The 15553-nt window shown below is 37.2% G+C and overlaps 1 protein-coding gene across 1 annotated transcript in view, besides 1 other annotated feature; it reads right to left on the bottom strand.

Moving 5' to 3' along the window:
* RPS6KC1 (ribosomal protein S6 kinase C1) overlaps window positions 1-15553 on the bottom strand; it is an 811495-nt gene that overhangs the window by 351422 nt on the left and 444520 nt on the right. The gene's annotated exons all lie outside the window — the stretch shown is intronic.
* Window positions 2753-3751: an enhancer, noted in NCBI's record as "OCT4-NANOG hESC enhancer chr1:213680906-213681904 (GRCh37/hg19 assembly coordinates)". NCBI's record gives its function as "activates a minimal SCP1, AML or CMV promoter by ChIP-STARR-seq in primed H9 embryonic stem cells {active_cell/tissue: H9 hESC(primed)}" and the evidence as "EXISTENCE:reporter gene assay evidence [ECO:0000049][PMID:30033119]".

Genomic DNA, 15553 nt, shown 5'->3' with positions numbered 1-15553 from the left:
GCCCTCAGAGAGCCAGTTCCCAAAGGCACACAGCTTCCACACACTTGCATAGTCTTTCAGGAGAACAGTGCCCCCAGTTTTTGGTCTTTGTGTCAGGCTAGTGAGCCATTCCTATTTCTAAAAAAAAAAAAAGACATTCCTCAACATTTTAAAATTCGTAACAGATTTACTAATCTTATACAAGATTTTTCTTGAGTTATATCATCTCAAAGCTCCATTTTCTAAATTATTCCTTTGAAGTCCTGCTAGATGACTTTAAAATCTGGTGTCTGTTCTCACTTCTCTTTCGGATTTCTCCTATTTTGGAAACCCCTCTGGTGAAAGGGAATTTGTTTCCTTCCCCGAGTACTAAGCACCCATCTTTGCACACAGTTAAGTACTCAGTCAATATTGGCTCAATTAGTGTTTATTAATTCCCTATGACTTCGGCCCTGGGCTAGGCACCAAAGTAGTCACAGAAGTAAAAAGGCCTCCCCACCCCACACAAATAAGGGCTTATATAGTATAGGGAAAGTCTGGAAAACAGCATCAATAATGGTAGAATACGGTTAAGTAAAAGAATTGGACATGACAAACTGCGGCTCCTACGAATTCAGGGAGGATCTGGGTAGAGTCAAACAGTGAAATGGTTTCCTAGAGAAAACAGGACTTGAACTGGAGACCGTGAGTGCAGGATCAAACTAGACTCACAGAGCCACTAAACCCCATTAAAGAGACAGGCACAGAATAATTGGCAGCCACAATTTATATTGCTCAGTAACTGCAAAACCAAGGAGTTATTTTTACAACTAGCCCGTTATAGCCTATGATTTGGCCAATAAACCCTGCCTGGAGTTTCACAATATGAAGTTAGGGGGTATAGAGTATACCTCCATGGAAACTCTATCAGTGTTTTATCAACAACAAAAACAAACTACACAGTACTTAACCTCCATCAGATGAGCTTAAATGACAAAGATAAAAGTGGATCTAACTTTTGGATAAAAGAAGTCAGGCATTTGGGGACACTGAAGGGCTTACTGGAAGTACTCCGGATCTGGTGATTGGTACCAGGAATTACAAGTACATAATGGAGGAAAACTTATTTAAGGACAGGCACAGGTAATGCCTGGGGCTTAGGAGACAACAGAGCATGCAATTGAAGCAGGCCCCTACTTTGGCTGCTGTGCATTACATGAAAAGGCACAATGATGCTCTTCCACCATCCCCTCAGCAATTAGTCCTCCAGTAAATGAATTAGCACCCTATTGTAGGTAGGAACCCAAGAAGTTGTTAGAAAACAGGCAATCAAAGATACTGGAGACAGAGCTGTGAGAATCAGTCTGCCCAGATGGGAAAGAGACCAGATATCTTGCTGTTTGATAAATGTATAAACTTACTGACATTCATCTTCATTCAATGAAAAAGAAATTCAGAGCATGTGCTTCAATAAAAGAGATACATCTATGGACATAATAAAAGAGATAAAAATGGCTGCAAGAATCACAGGATACTGGTATAAAAACTGGTTATCTAACACACGAAAATTATTTTCATATGCTAGCATTAAAGTTTGTGTCTGCTGCAGGGGAGAACATTATAAAATGTATTAATGAAGGTACTGCTTACCCTTTGATACCTAAGAATTGGCATTTCTTGGTTCAATTCTACATGTGTACATTCCAAGAGTCATTATTTGACTCTGTTGACTGAGCCCAAGTCGCTGCTAAGAAATTAAAGTTATGTGAAGTGTAAAGACTTCGCATTTGTTCAACAGACACCCTCTAGGTAAGCCTTGAAGAAATTAAATCCCATACAAAAACAGGTTGCCAGCTAGGAGTCAGGGAAGCCTTTTCATTACAGAATAATTATTTTGAAAATTGAACGACCATTTACTAATTTAATATGTACAAATGAATTTCCGCTTATAGTATTTTATAAAAGTGGAATTTATTTGCCTTTCTGGATTCTAATTCTTAGAAGAAAAAAAAAAAGGATCAACTCTCTTTCTTTAAAGATAAAGCAATGACCAACCTCAAAAGACAGGTAAAGACAGAACCCCCAAGGGGCTAGTTTTTCATTCTCCTTCCTTGCCTTAATACCCAGATTTGGTCTTTAGCCATGTGATTTTAGGGTGATCGTATGTACTGGCTTGCCCAGGACAGTGCTGGTTTACATCTGATGTCCCAGCATAATTATTAAATACACCTTACTACCAAAATGTCCCAAATTGTGTGATAAATTACATGGTCACCCTACATATTATAGATTCTAAAGAACTGGAATTTGTTGTATTTCAAAATCAATTAGAAGGCAGTATTTTGGACATCATGACATCACCTCCAAGGATGAGGCACAGCTTTTTTACAACCCACCTGGGAGGTTCTACTATGTACTCAAGCCACTATCCATGAATTCACCGAGTTAGAAGTTCTAATCTCAAGTCAAGATCCTGCCATTGCCCTTTTCTCTCCAGCATCCACCTGCTAAACACAGTAGATACCATTTGCAGATTAGCAACTGAGACCAATCAACAACAATTTATTGAGCCCCCAAAAGACACACCTCAGGTTAACATGAAAACCCTGGTGGTGTCAATCATTTGACCAGATAATGATTCCTCACTATTTACAAAACTACTGTACTTAAAATATTGTCTTCCTGGGTTATATGTGGAAATTGAGGCTTAAGAAAAAAAGGAAAAACTTATTGGGAGCATAGCCTAGAAGCAAATTCAAGCTCTGCCCAGCAACCATCACCCACAAACTCCAGTCCCAACACACACACATACACACACACACACAAACCCCTTACTGGTGATGGCAGAGAACTTTCAAAAGCAACACAGCTTCATTTTACAAATGTCCTATTTTCTGGCTCTCCACTTTTTTCTGTGCTGAATTGGTAATGGAGCTAATAAAGGTTCAAGATGCTCTTTCTGGGGGCCAAATTTTTCTTTTCTCCATGTCATGCTTTTTATTCAGAAAATCATTTTCTTTGCATTGTTTTCACAAAAGCCTTCCAACACCCCCAAATAATGCAGAGAAATTGGCTTTCATTTTGAACAGGCTTTTTCAATGCACACTGTATCTCTCAGCATATCTATTATATTAATCCAAGCCTTAATGATACAATGGGTAAAAACAGTGTACGGATGTGTATCAATGAAAAATTTAATAGATTTCCCTCTTAATGTAATAGAATTGGCATGAGGCATTGGGAACAGGAGTGAAAGTAGTCACTCAAGCATTGTGTTTACATGATATTTAAATACAAGTGGCTGGGGTATAAGTACCGCTAAGTACACCTGAAAGGGATGGTGCCTCCTAATCATTGTTTCAGCAATTGACAGTTGTTTACACAACAGCAGCACATTCGCTGCTGATTTGAATAATAAACATGCTTAAATACCAGCTGGATAATAGAAGGATAATTGAAACATAGTTTAAAGCTCTGATTTACAGGCATTGTAGCAACACTTTTATTTGCTGTACAATGCTGCACTTCTGTGCAGTTTCTGAAAAAAGAATTTAAGGCATTGTTTCAGACACTGGGGTCTATTAAACTTGATTAATACACTCAGCATATGTATCCATAGCTCAAGCCATGCCTGGGCATACTTGAGACAGCTATTGTGCAATGTGTTTGATCAAAACACTCAATGCTGTAATAGAACCATTCCGGAGGCCCGCAATGCAGTGTGTCCACCAGGGCTCTGAGCGGTGGATGGGACCACAGGCACCTGATAAGTTTCATGCTTCACAGGTTAAAAAAAAAAAAAAAAATGAGAGGGTTGACCTGAATCATCTCAGACTGTATAAAGTTATGCTGCTAAACTATCTCCAATTTGCGCCACTTTCTTTGCATCTGTCCTTTTCCTTCTTTCCATGCCTCTTGCTACCACCTGAGTTCAGGCCAGTTTTACCTCTACCCAGGTCAACTGCAAGAGGCCTAACCTGGGCATCTGCTCCCAGGGTCTCTCTATTTCAGCCCCCCACCCTGCGCTGCCAACACAATGGTCCCTTTTCAGGTAGGAGTGCCAGAGCCAGGCAGGTTGCGTGCTCAGGTTGGCCCTGCGGGTTGGTAGTACCTGGCAAGTGTTAGCTGCCACTCGAGTCCTCAAATGTGGGGATCCTAAAATGTGACTGAACCTGTTCACTTGGAATAGGTTGTACTTGTGGAAGTTACTCATGTAACCAAATTAGCAGGAGCCTAATTTGCCAACCAGAATGCTGATACGTTCATTGATTTATCAATTTACTAGGGGAGATACATCTTACAGAATCATTCACATTGGTCATTCAGAACACTCTCTCCTGGAATAATTGCCTCAGAGGAGCAAATTATGTGTCAGAAAGTTGCTTAATGAACATAAAGTAAGAGCAAAAGGAATGGGATGAATTGCCACTTTCCACTCCAGGGAAAATGCTGCCTAAAAGTAATAGCACTCAGGCACCAAGCCAGACATCTATTATCACTAATTCTTTTAAAATCCCCCAGGAATTATTATTCCTTTTTAAATATAAGGGACTGATCTAAGGCCACAATGTCGTTGAGTTATAGCATCAAAACCACATAACTAGCTAGCTAATTAAGAATCATCATATTGATGGTCAAGAATAATTACCAGACATTGATACATTGATATTCAGATCTCCCTCCATCTCTGTCTCTTTCTCTATCTCCTGGATTGACTGGGTTGAGTAAAAACAGAGAGGCGTTTATATTCTCACTCCTTTTTTAGTGACTCACATGCACAAGTCATAGGGGTCATCTTCCACCCTCTGCTAGACCTGGTGGGTGACCCATAGATGTTGAATGAGTAACTGAGTGAAAAGTTAAATGAACTTTCAATGATTGTTATTTAATGTCAAACCTGTCTTTCTGAGAATACAGTCTGATACTTAGTGAGAGAGTTTGGACAATCATGGCATCTCCAATCTATTAAAACATGGTGTTGCTTCTGCAAATAACTAATCTCATCTGGTATGGGTGTCGCCCTAAAATTTAGTTTCCATCACAACCACATCCTGAAATTTTAAAGACCATTATCAGCATTCTTCCATGCACAAAATCCATCTCCTTCATCTCGTTACTTACCAATTCAAAACCAGGTACAAAAGTAGGAGACTCATTTTCAGAAGAAAGGACAGCAATGCCAAGAGTCTATACTGTAGTACAAGATGGTCCCCATCAAGCATGGCACCATCTTGCCCTCAGAGCCCCTTCTGAGAGAATTTACCCCAGTCACAGTTACTGTTGAAGTAGCAACTCTCTACCCCACTCTGGCTCCAGCTGGATAGAAGTGTGGGCACCTGATCCAAGGACAACAAACAAATGCAGATGACAGCCAATAAGCTACAGGATGGCCTGACACAAAACAGAAACTGAGTCTCTCTCTCTCACTCTCTCTCCCTTTAAGAAAAATCAGGCACTTGATAGTGAAGCCAGAGACAGAAAACATGCATAAAGAGAGAAGCCATGAAGTAGATAAGGACCACGAATGATCAAAACAAGTCACAGTTAGATAGAAGGCAGGAAATATGAGGTAGAGAAACCAAAACAACTGTAGAGTGAAGTGGTCAAGAGCATGAACCCAGGCTCTTGAACCCTGCCCAGGTCTGAACCCCAGCCTGTCCTTTTCCTAGCAGTGTTACCTTGGGCTGGTTCCTCCACCTCTAACAGCATCTGGCCCATGGTAAATGCTGTGTACATGCTGGCATGTTAGATATTGCTGTTGAGCACTTACGATGTGTCAGCCAGTGTGCTCAATCTGTTATATGTGTTAACTCAATCCTCACAACAAAAACCTGAAGTTCTGTTATTATCCCCATTTTCCACATCAGAAAACAGAGGCACAGAGAGATTAAGCAGCTTGCCCAAGGTCATATAGCTGGCACGTGGTAGGGCTGGGATTCGAATCCAGACAATCTGGCCCTAAGGCAGCACAGGCACCATCAAAGAGAGGTTGTGTGTCCTATGATAGGGAAATAACACATTCAAGAGGTCCTTTGGCCAGAGATTCAGTTCTAACACACAAGAATCCTCAGACCTACCCACCTCCCTCTGCCCACGGTAGTCTGGGTGGTTCTTTTTTTCTCCCTGAAACTGAAAGAGCCTGACTATAGCTGGAATCAGTCCTGAATTGGAGAGAGTGAGGTGCATTCATGGAACATAGAATAGGATCTCAGGGGATACTTGGGGTAAGTGGAAGTGGATATCGTACAGTGACAGGGTGAAGGGAAACGAAGCCCCACAGGCTAGGTAAGTGACAAACACTGGGCTTTCATTGATAGACTCCAGTGACCCAGATCTTGGGTCCCATAGATGGGGGTTGTGGGGAACTTAGTGGCTTTGGCCCTAACTCTGATTCATAGGATTAGGAATGAGGTAAACATCACAAAGCAGATGGATGCTATGCATCATATCAGACAAGTTACAATGGGAAAAGGGCACCTCCCCTCCTTTCCTAAATAAGAAATTTTATGTTAGATACTCATTTTTGCAGATCTCTAAAGATTATTAGAAGATTCTAGAAGCTTCCAGAGAGAGGGGAAAAAAACAAGTTGCCCACAAAGAAATAAGAATAAAACTGGCATCAAATTTTCCAAAAGCAACACTAAATGATACAAAATAATAGAAAAGATAATACTTTTCAAAATTCTGAGGGAAATTGAATTTAATACCCAGTTAAACTGTTAAGTAAGTGTTACATTTTCAGATGTGCAGACTCTAAAAGTTTATCTCCCACACCCTGTACTAGGCAATTACTTGAGGATGTGCTCCAGCAAAACAAAAGAATAACACAAGGGAAAGGCCTGGGATTTAGAAAACACTGGGTATGAGCCAAAAGTGAAGTAAAGCCCAGAATAGCAACCATGGCACATAGAGAACAATACATCTGGATAAGACAGTAGGAAACACAACACCAGAAGAGAGGAATCACAATAAAAAAGGAATTCCATATATTTGATATCATGTTTGAGAAGTTAAAAAAAATTGTAAGGATAAGATTAAGACAGACAATGCAAAAAAAGCAATTATAAACTCAAAGAAAAACAAAACTCTATTTGAGAAAGAAATATAATCAGTTAACTACTTGACTATGATAGAATTATTTCTGTTATGTGCAGTGAATCTTGGACCCACCTCCCTTTATATTTTTCTATGTTCAAAAAGATACATTATTAAAAGAAATTATCATAATTGTATATACCTGGCATTAACATAATATTATGTGAAAACCGTTCTATATATACATATAGTTCTAATTCATTCTATTTAATAACTTCACAAGAGTCTACATAAATCATGATGTATTTATGTATTCCCCTTTTGATGAACATTCAGATTGTTTCCAGATTTTTATTATAAACAATGCTATGTAAATATCCTTGAACATATTTTTTTATACTGATACATTTATTTCTACAGCATAGAGTCTAGTAGTGGGGTGATTACAAAAAAACTTTGTAATTTTAACAGATACTTTGAGATTATTTTCCAGAAAGTCTTAGCAGCTCACACTTGTACTGGCACCATACAAGGATGGCAGTTTCTGCATATCCTTACTAATGCTGGATGTCGTCAATTTTTATTTGTCTGTTTGTTCATTTTTTCAATCTCTTGCATGAAGATTCTTGTTTTAGTTTTAGCAAGCAGACTTTGCAATGCCCCAATCTCTAGATATAGAAATAGAATGAGGATGTTTTTGGCTTTATGTGTGATAAGTAACTGTTAATAGGCAGGAACATCTTTTGTAGAACAATGATGTGAGAATAAGCGTAAGTGCGAGAACAGGCAAGGGGTGAAGTGTACTACATATGTCAACCATAGAGACAGCAGTGACTGCTACAGGCACCTTATCCAGAGCCCCTGCTGAAGGGGAATGCCTTGTCACCATGCTTGGCACCACATGATCACTCCTGCCTACCCAGATTCTGTTGATTAAACCAGTGTGGATACCTGACCTAAGGACAACAGAGCCACAAGTTATCGGCTATCTCTACCATGGCTTGCTGTGAAAAGACTGACTAGGTTAAGTATATTTTTCACTCCCAGGAATTCAAATTGAGGAAACATGAAAAGAATCACGTAGCTCACTGTGCCAAGTGAAACTATAAGGCCAAGAGGTAGAGTTAAGGACCATGCATGGCAAACCAAAATTACAAAGGAGCTGCAACAATAAAGTAGAAGAGATGGAACAGCCATAGAGAAAAAAAAAGGTTGTGAAGTAAGAAAAGACACACAGAATACAAAAGAAAAAAAAAGCCACTTTTTAGAAAGAGGAAAATAGAGCATATGCAAAAAGGAAAGCAGACACCATAACTAGATAGCTGCTTGATTACGGGAATAGAATTAAGCCTACTCTGATCAGCCTCAATTTCATATGCTTTCCTGGCTCTCTATTTCTGTTCCAGTTTCAACCCATACTTTTTATTATAATAATTTTATTGGCTTTATTACCAAAGTAATTCAAATTTATTATAGAATATTTAAAAAATGAAAATGAGTAGAACAGAACAAAATAAAGACTGATCCATGATTCTGTCACCCAAAGATAACCACTAAATATTCTTCATCTTTCTTCTATTAACTTTTAGTGGAATCTCATGGTTTATGTTATTTTGTAAAGTGATTTTTCATATTTTGCCACATGAAAATATTAATATTAAAAATATATTGTAAACATATGCCATGTAATCTAGGAAAATGTATTTTTAATGACTACATGGTTTTCCTGATTTATAGATGGACCATAATTTATTTAACCAACTCTCCCATTTTGAATTTTTACAGTAGTTTGTCACTAAGTTTGATACATAAAAAGTGATAATCTGTTTTAATTTATATTTAGTGGATTACTAGAGATCCTAAACATTTCATAAAGTAATTGTCCATTTTATATCTTATTAATGTCCTATTTATATCATTTTTTACTGGGTTTGTTTTCAATTTCTAGAAGCTCTTTATTAAGGATATTATCTTTGTCTTATATGACACAAATATTTTTCCTGATTTACTTGTCTTTCAATTTTGTTTATTGTGGATTGGACATCAAAAAGCCATTCTCAATCTGTCATCCCAGTCTTACTCTAAGATAGAGGATGGAAGGCACCATTTTCCCAGACTCTTTTGCAGCTAGGAGTGCTCATGTAACACATTACAGCCAATAAGATATTAATGAAAGTTGCTGGGAAATAATCTGGGAATTTTTTAAAATAAGGGATAGACTCAACTAGCATGCCTCTTAGGTATTTTGCCTGTTTGCCTTCTTTCTGCCTGGAAAATGAAGATGAGCCTAGAGGTACAGCAACAATTATGCAACCATGAGGTAAATTCTAGGAGGACAGAGCTCTACACTGAACAGGAAATGGAAGGATGGAGGGAGTCCACATTTCCTGAGACACACTACAAGCTTGACTACAAACTTGCAGATTGCATGTTGCTTGAGACAAATAAATCAGTATCTATTTAAGATAGATTAAAAATCAAGTTTTCTGTTAACCATAAATATTGCTAATTAATAAATGTATGCAGTTTTTGTAAATTTATTTTAAAATCCAACAATTATTTTTCTTTTTTTTCTTTTTTTTTTTTTTGATGGACTCTCACTCTGTAGCCCAGGCTGGGGTGCAGTGGTGCAATCTTCGCTCACTGCAGCCCCTGCCTCCTGGGTTCAAGCAATTCTCATGCCTCAGCCTCCCAAATAGCTGGGATTACGTGTGCTCACCACCATACCTAATTTTAATATTTTTAGTAGAGATGGGGTTTCACCATGTTTGCCAGGCTGGCATTTTTTCTTTATAAGACTACTATGTGCCAAACAAGTACCAGAAAAGTAAACGGTTTATGCCTTTTAACCTGTGATACTTTCCTCACACCAGAGATTATGTCAACATTTATATATATTTGCTTCTAATACTTGCATGTTTTACTTTTAAACCATTAATCCATCTGGGAGTTTGTTTATGAAATGAGTTGGGAGAACATAATTTTTTCTCTAAATGGCAATCAAATTTTTAAAACACAATTTATAGGCAATCTTTTGTTTTTCTCAAAATGACTTGTCATTCATTCATGTATTCAAACTTTCAATTATTATTTCAATTATTCAACCGTTGTAATACATTTATATCTTGGAGAGCAAACCTAGTCTTACTCAGTTTTCCCCCAAATCCTAAACTACTATTTCATATGTAACCACTGAGCTAACTTTAGAATCATTTTGTTTCAAATATAATCCCTTGGAAATTTTAATTGAAATCGAATTAAATCTATAGACTATTGATATCTTTAAATATTGATTATTTTCACCCATTCACTCAGGTTAAGCCTTTCAGCAATACTTTATAGTTTTCTTTCAATAAGTTTATTGCTAGGTATTTTATCAATTTTGCTGCTATTGTTGATAGGACTTTTTCTGTTTTCTAGTATATTCTACGGTGGATATGGAAGCAAATAATTTGTTTGTTTTACATATAGACACCCTTCTAAAGCCCATAATTCATTCTAAAATATTTTTACTTTATTGTTCATATGTTTAGATGTATAATCATATCTCCTGAAAATGCAGTCACGCACCACATAAAGACATTTCAGTCAACAAAGGATCACATATATAACAGTGGCCCTGTAAGAGTATGATGGAGCTGGAAAATTCCTATCACCTTTAGCTGTCCTAATGTCATAGCACAACCCCAATACTCATGTGTTTGTGGTGATAACAGTGTAAACAAACCTACTGCGCTGCCAGTCATATTAAAGTCTAGCATATACAATTATGTGTGGTACCTAATGCTTGATAATAATAAACAACTATGTTACTTGTTTATTTACTGTCCTATTCTTTTTATCACTATTTTAAAGTGTACTCCTTCTACTTATATATAATTTTTTTAAGTTAACTATAAAAGAGCCTCAGGCAGGTCCTTGGGAAGGTATTCCAAATGAAGGCATTGTGATCCTAGGAGATGGCCGCGCCGTTAGTGCTATTGCCCTTGAAGACCCTCCAGTGGGGCAAAATGAAGATGGTGATATTGGTGATCCTGACTTTGTGTAGGCCCAGACTAATGTGTGTGTTTGTGTCTTAGTTTTTAATAAAAAAGTTTAAAAAGTTAATAAATAGGAAAAAGCTTACAGAATAAGGATATTTTAAAAAATTGTATAGCATATAATGTGTTTGTGTTTTAAGCTAAGTTATTACAAGAGTCAAACAGGTAAAAAATTTAAAAGTTTTGAAAAGTTACAGTAAGAGTAATTTATTGAAAGAAAAATATTTTTCATAAACTAGTTAGCCTAAGTGTATAGTCCTTATAAAGTCTATAGCAGTGTAATGTCCTAGGCCTTCACATTCACTCAACATTTACTCACTAACTCACCCAGAGAAACTTTAATCCTGCAAGCTCCATTTATGGTATGTGTGTTTTTGTGTGCCATTTTTTTAATCCCTTATATGGTATTTTTACTGTACTTTTTCTATGTTTAAATATGCAAATACTTTTCATTGTGTTACAACTGCCTACACTTTTCAATACAGTAACATGCCGTACAGGTTTGTAGTCTAGGAGCAATAGGCTATAGCACATAGCCTAGGTGTGTAGTAGACTATACCATCTAGGTTTGTGTAAGCACACTGGCCCCAGCCCCCAGGCCATGGACCAGTACTGGTCAATGTCCTGTTAGGAACCAGGCCGTACAGCAGGAGGTGAGCAGCAAGCGAGCCAGCATTACCTCCTGAGCTCCACCGCCTGTGAGATCAGCAGAGGCATGAGAGTCTCATAGGAGCACAGAACACTATTGTGAATTGTGCATGTGAGGGATCTAGGTTGCACTCATTATGAGACTCTAACTATGCCTGATGATCTGAGGTGGAATAGTTTCATCCCAAAACCATCCCCCAACTTCCCCACCACTCCGACCTACTACGGAAAAATTGTCTACCATGAAAACGGTCCCTGGTGCCAAAAAGGTTGGGGGCCGGGGCTCCATGGTGTTCACATAATGACGAAATCGCCTAGTGATGCATTCTCAGAAACGTAGTCCTGTAGTCAAGTGACATGAATATGATGATCATTTTGTCAACTCCATTCCAGTTGTATACCTCTAGTTCTGTATCTTGTTTTATGCTTTTTCTACAACTAGAGAACAATTACAAAATACAAGTGGGAACAGGCATCATGATCTTTAAAGGGCCTTCCTCCAGTGTTACAACACTGTTTATGATGCTGAATGTTGATATAAAAGAATTAATCTGGCCGGGCACGGTGACTCATGCTTGTAATCCCAGCACTTTGGGAGGCTGAGACAGGTGGATCACCTGAGGTCAGGAGTTCGAGACCGGCCTGGACAACATGGAGAAACCCTGTCTCTACTAAAAATACAAAAATCAGCTGAGCGTGGCAGTGGGTGCCTATAATCCCAGCTACTTGGGAGGCTGAGGCAGGAGAATCACTTGAACCCAGGAGGCAGAAGTTGCAGTGAGCCAAGATCACGCCACTGCACTCCAGCCTGGGTGACAGAGCAAGACTCCATCTCAAAAAGAAAAAAAAAAAAAAAAAAATCTTAGAAAACACACTTATGGCCGGGCACGGTGGCTCATGCCTGTAATCCCAGCACTTTGGGAGGCTGAGGTGGGCAGATCATGAAGCCAGAAGATCGAGACCAGCCTGACCAACATGGTGAAACCCTGTCTCTACTAAAAATACAAAAAATTAGCCAGGCATGGTGGCAGGCGCCTGTAGTCCCAGCTACTCTGGAGGCTGGGGCATGAGAATGGCGTGAATCTGGGAGGCAGAGCTTGCAGTGAGCCAAGATCGCACCACTGCACTCCAGCCTGGGCGACAGAGCGAGACTCCATCTCAAAAAGAAAATAAAAGAAAAGAAAAGAAAACATACTTCTATTCTTAGGACAAATTGCTTAATTTTATCAAAAGTATTTCTTGGTATCTTTTTATCTGAACTATTGTGATTAATTATATTAAGAGATTTTCTAATATGGAAAAACTACTGTATAACTGGAATGAAAATTCTTGGCCATAATGTATTTTTTAACTTACTGGTGGATTTTATTTGCTAATACATCACTTATACATCTTTTAGCATATATTCATCATATATATTCATAATGGGTATATCGTCAAAGGAATTAGTTGTTAATTTTGGTTGTTATCTTTGTCAGATATGGTATAAGATAATGTTCACCCAGGAAATGAAATTCCAAACTTTTGAAATATCTTCATAGTTAGAAGTTATTTAAAAGCATAGGAATTATCTCTTAACAGTTTGAAAACAATCAACATAAAAAGATCTTCAGCATTATTTTTTTCCCTTAACGGTTTGAAAACTTTCCCAACTTTTTTGGTCATTAGTTTATTTAGTTATATCTTGACACAATTTTGTAATTATTAGCACGGAATTTTAACTAGTAGTTTCTTAAATTTTTTAAATTTTTTCTACATATTTAGTTATATCTCATCCTGATTCCTACATTAATGTGCCTTTTCCTTTATTATATTTTCCAAGTCTTAACAAATATTTGGTTTTCTCAAAATCCTAGATTTTGGAACTATTTACTAACTACTTTTTACTATTACAGAATTTATTAATTTCTTTTATTTGTTTAAAATTAATTCCCTCCACCTGCTTTCTTTGGGACTATTTCATTAACTCTACTTTCTTGAGCTAAAATACTGTTCATTTATTTTCATTAATTCTTTATACTAAAACCATTTAAGACAATGAATTTTAATCCTGTTACTGCTTTGGTTGCATCCAATGTGTTTGGATATGCAGTGTTCTTGTTATTTTCTAAATTATATGTAATCGAAATTGTAATATCCTTATATGATTTAGAAGCTATTAAGGGAGACTGTGTTGTTATTTTCTTAATTTTGGGTTTGGATGGGGTTTAATTGTTATTTGGTGTTTGGGGAAAATTTCCAAGTGTTTTTTTTTTTCCTTAAGTTAAACTTTTAACTTTTTATTGCTTTATGGTCACAGAAAACAGCCTGTACCATACATGCTCTGCGAAGTTTGTTGAGGTTTTCAGTTGAGGCATATAGGTTGCATGGATGCTGGAAAAGAACAAACATATGCTATAGCATACAGTGTTCAGTAAAAACATATTTATTAAATCAACCAAATTCTTTATATAATTCAAATACTCTATATGTTTATGGTTTGATGACTCATTCAGTCAAAAGAAGAAACATTAAAGTTGATTATTACTATTTTTCTCTGCTGATTTATGGTATTTCCAACTTGATAGATTTCAATACAATGTTCATGATGCATAGAAATATATAATGCATATCTCCTTTGTGAATCTTATTGTTCATCATTATACAGTAACAAGTGGTTTGCTGATAAACTGGCTCTGAAGAAAATAATTGAAAAGCCCTGATTTGTAGCATTTGCAACCCTTGTGGTGTAAATGCTTCCACTGTGGCAAATTTCCAAGTTACTGATACAAGGTCATTGCACTCAGAGTTGGGGCAAGATGGATACAACTAACTGGCCCTCAGGAGCAAGCTCCAACATACCACTGATAGTAAGTTTCTTTTCTTTTTTTCCCCCGAGACTGAGTCTCACTCTGTCACCCAGGCTGGAGTGCAGTGGTGTGATCTTGGCTCACTGAAACCTCCGCCTCCTGGGTTCAAGCAATTCTCCTACCTCAGCCTCACGAGTAGCTGGGATTATAGGCACGTACCACCATGCTTGGCTAATTTTTGTATTTTTAGTAGAGACGGGGTTTCACCATGTTGGCCAGGCTGGTCTCAAACCCTTGACCTCAAATGATTCACCCACCTCAGCCTCCCAAAGTGCTAAGATTACGGGAGTGAGTCACCATGCCTGGCCTGAAAGTAAGTTTCTTATGCTTTCTGATCTCTGCCTTTCACTCTGTTTTAATACTAAAGATCATTTGTTTTTGTGTTTGTTTACATCCACCTAATATATCTTTGCCCATTCACTCATTTTTAGCCATACTGTTATTATTTTTTTTACAGATGTCTCTTGCAAAGCACATTTTGTTTTAAAACCCATTCTGAGACACTTTATGTTTTAATAAGTAGGTTTAGCATATTTATATTTATTGTTTGTGCTATTTGGTCTGACATTTTTTGCTTTGTCTTATGCTTTTTCTTTTGTTTTCTTATTTTGGTCTTTATTTTCTAATATTTGTTATATATTTCACATTTACTTCTCTAGTTTTTATTTCTAGTATCTGTTACCTTTATGTTTTTTTCAACAGTGTGCTAAAGTGTGTATTTCCCTAACTGTCAGATTCAAAGATGAAAAGTATCTTTTGAGCTCCTCATAATTTAAGGTCAGAAATTTAGGACCCAAGGAAGGGTTTTTAATGCTGAAAATAATTCTAAGAGGGTAATAAAAATAATTGTCTTGGTATTTGGTTATATTATCCAAGTTTTAAACTCTAGATTATTATGATTACCTTGTATTATGTTTGTATTTATATCTTTTAAGAATAAGACATTTGTATTCACTTTTACAATCATGCATTTAAAAAGTAATTTATTCCTTAATTTTGGAGTTACAATCAGCCTTTTATAAA

Source organism: Homo sapiens, chromosome 1 (genome assembly GCF_000001405.40).
Source record: "Homo sapiens chromosome 1, GRCh38.p14 Primary Assembly".
NCBI classification, from domain to species: domain Eukaryota; kingdom Metazoa; phylum Chordata; class Mammalia; order Primates; family Hominidae; genus Homo; species Homo sapiens.
The sequence above is the reverse complement of the archived record's forward strand: the minus strand, read 5'-3'. Positions and strand labels throughout refer to the sequence as shown.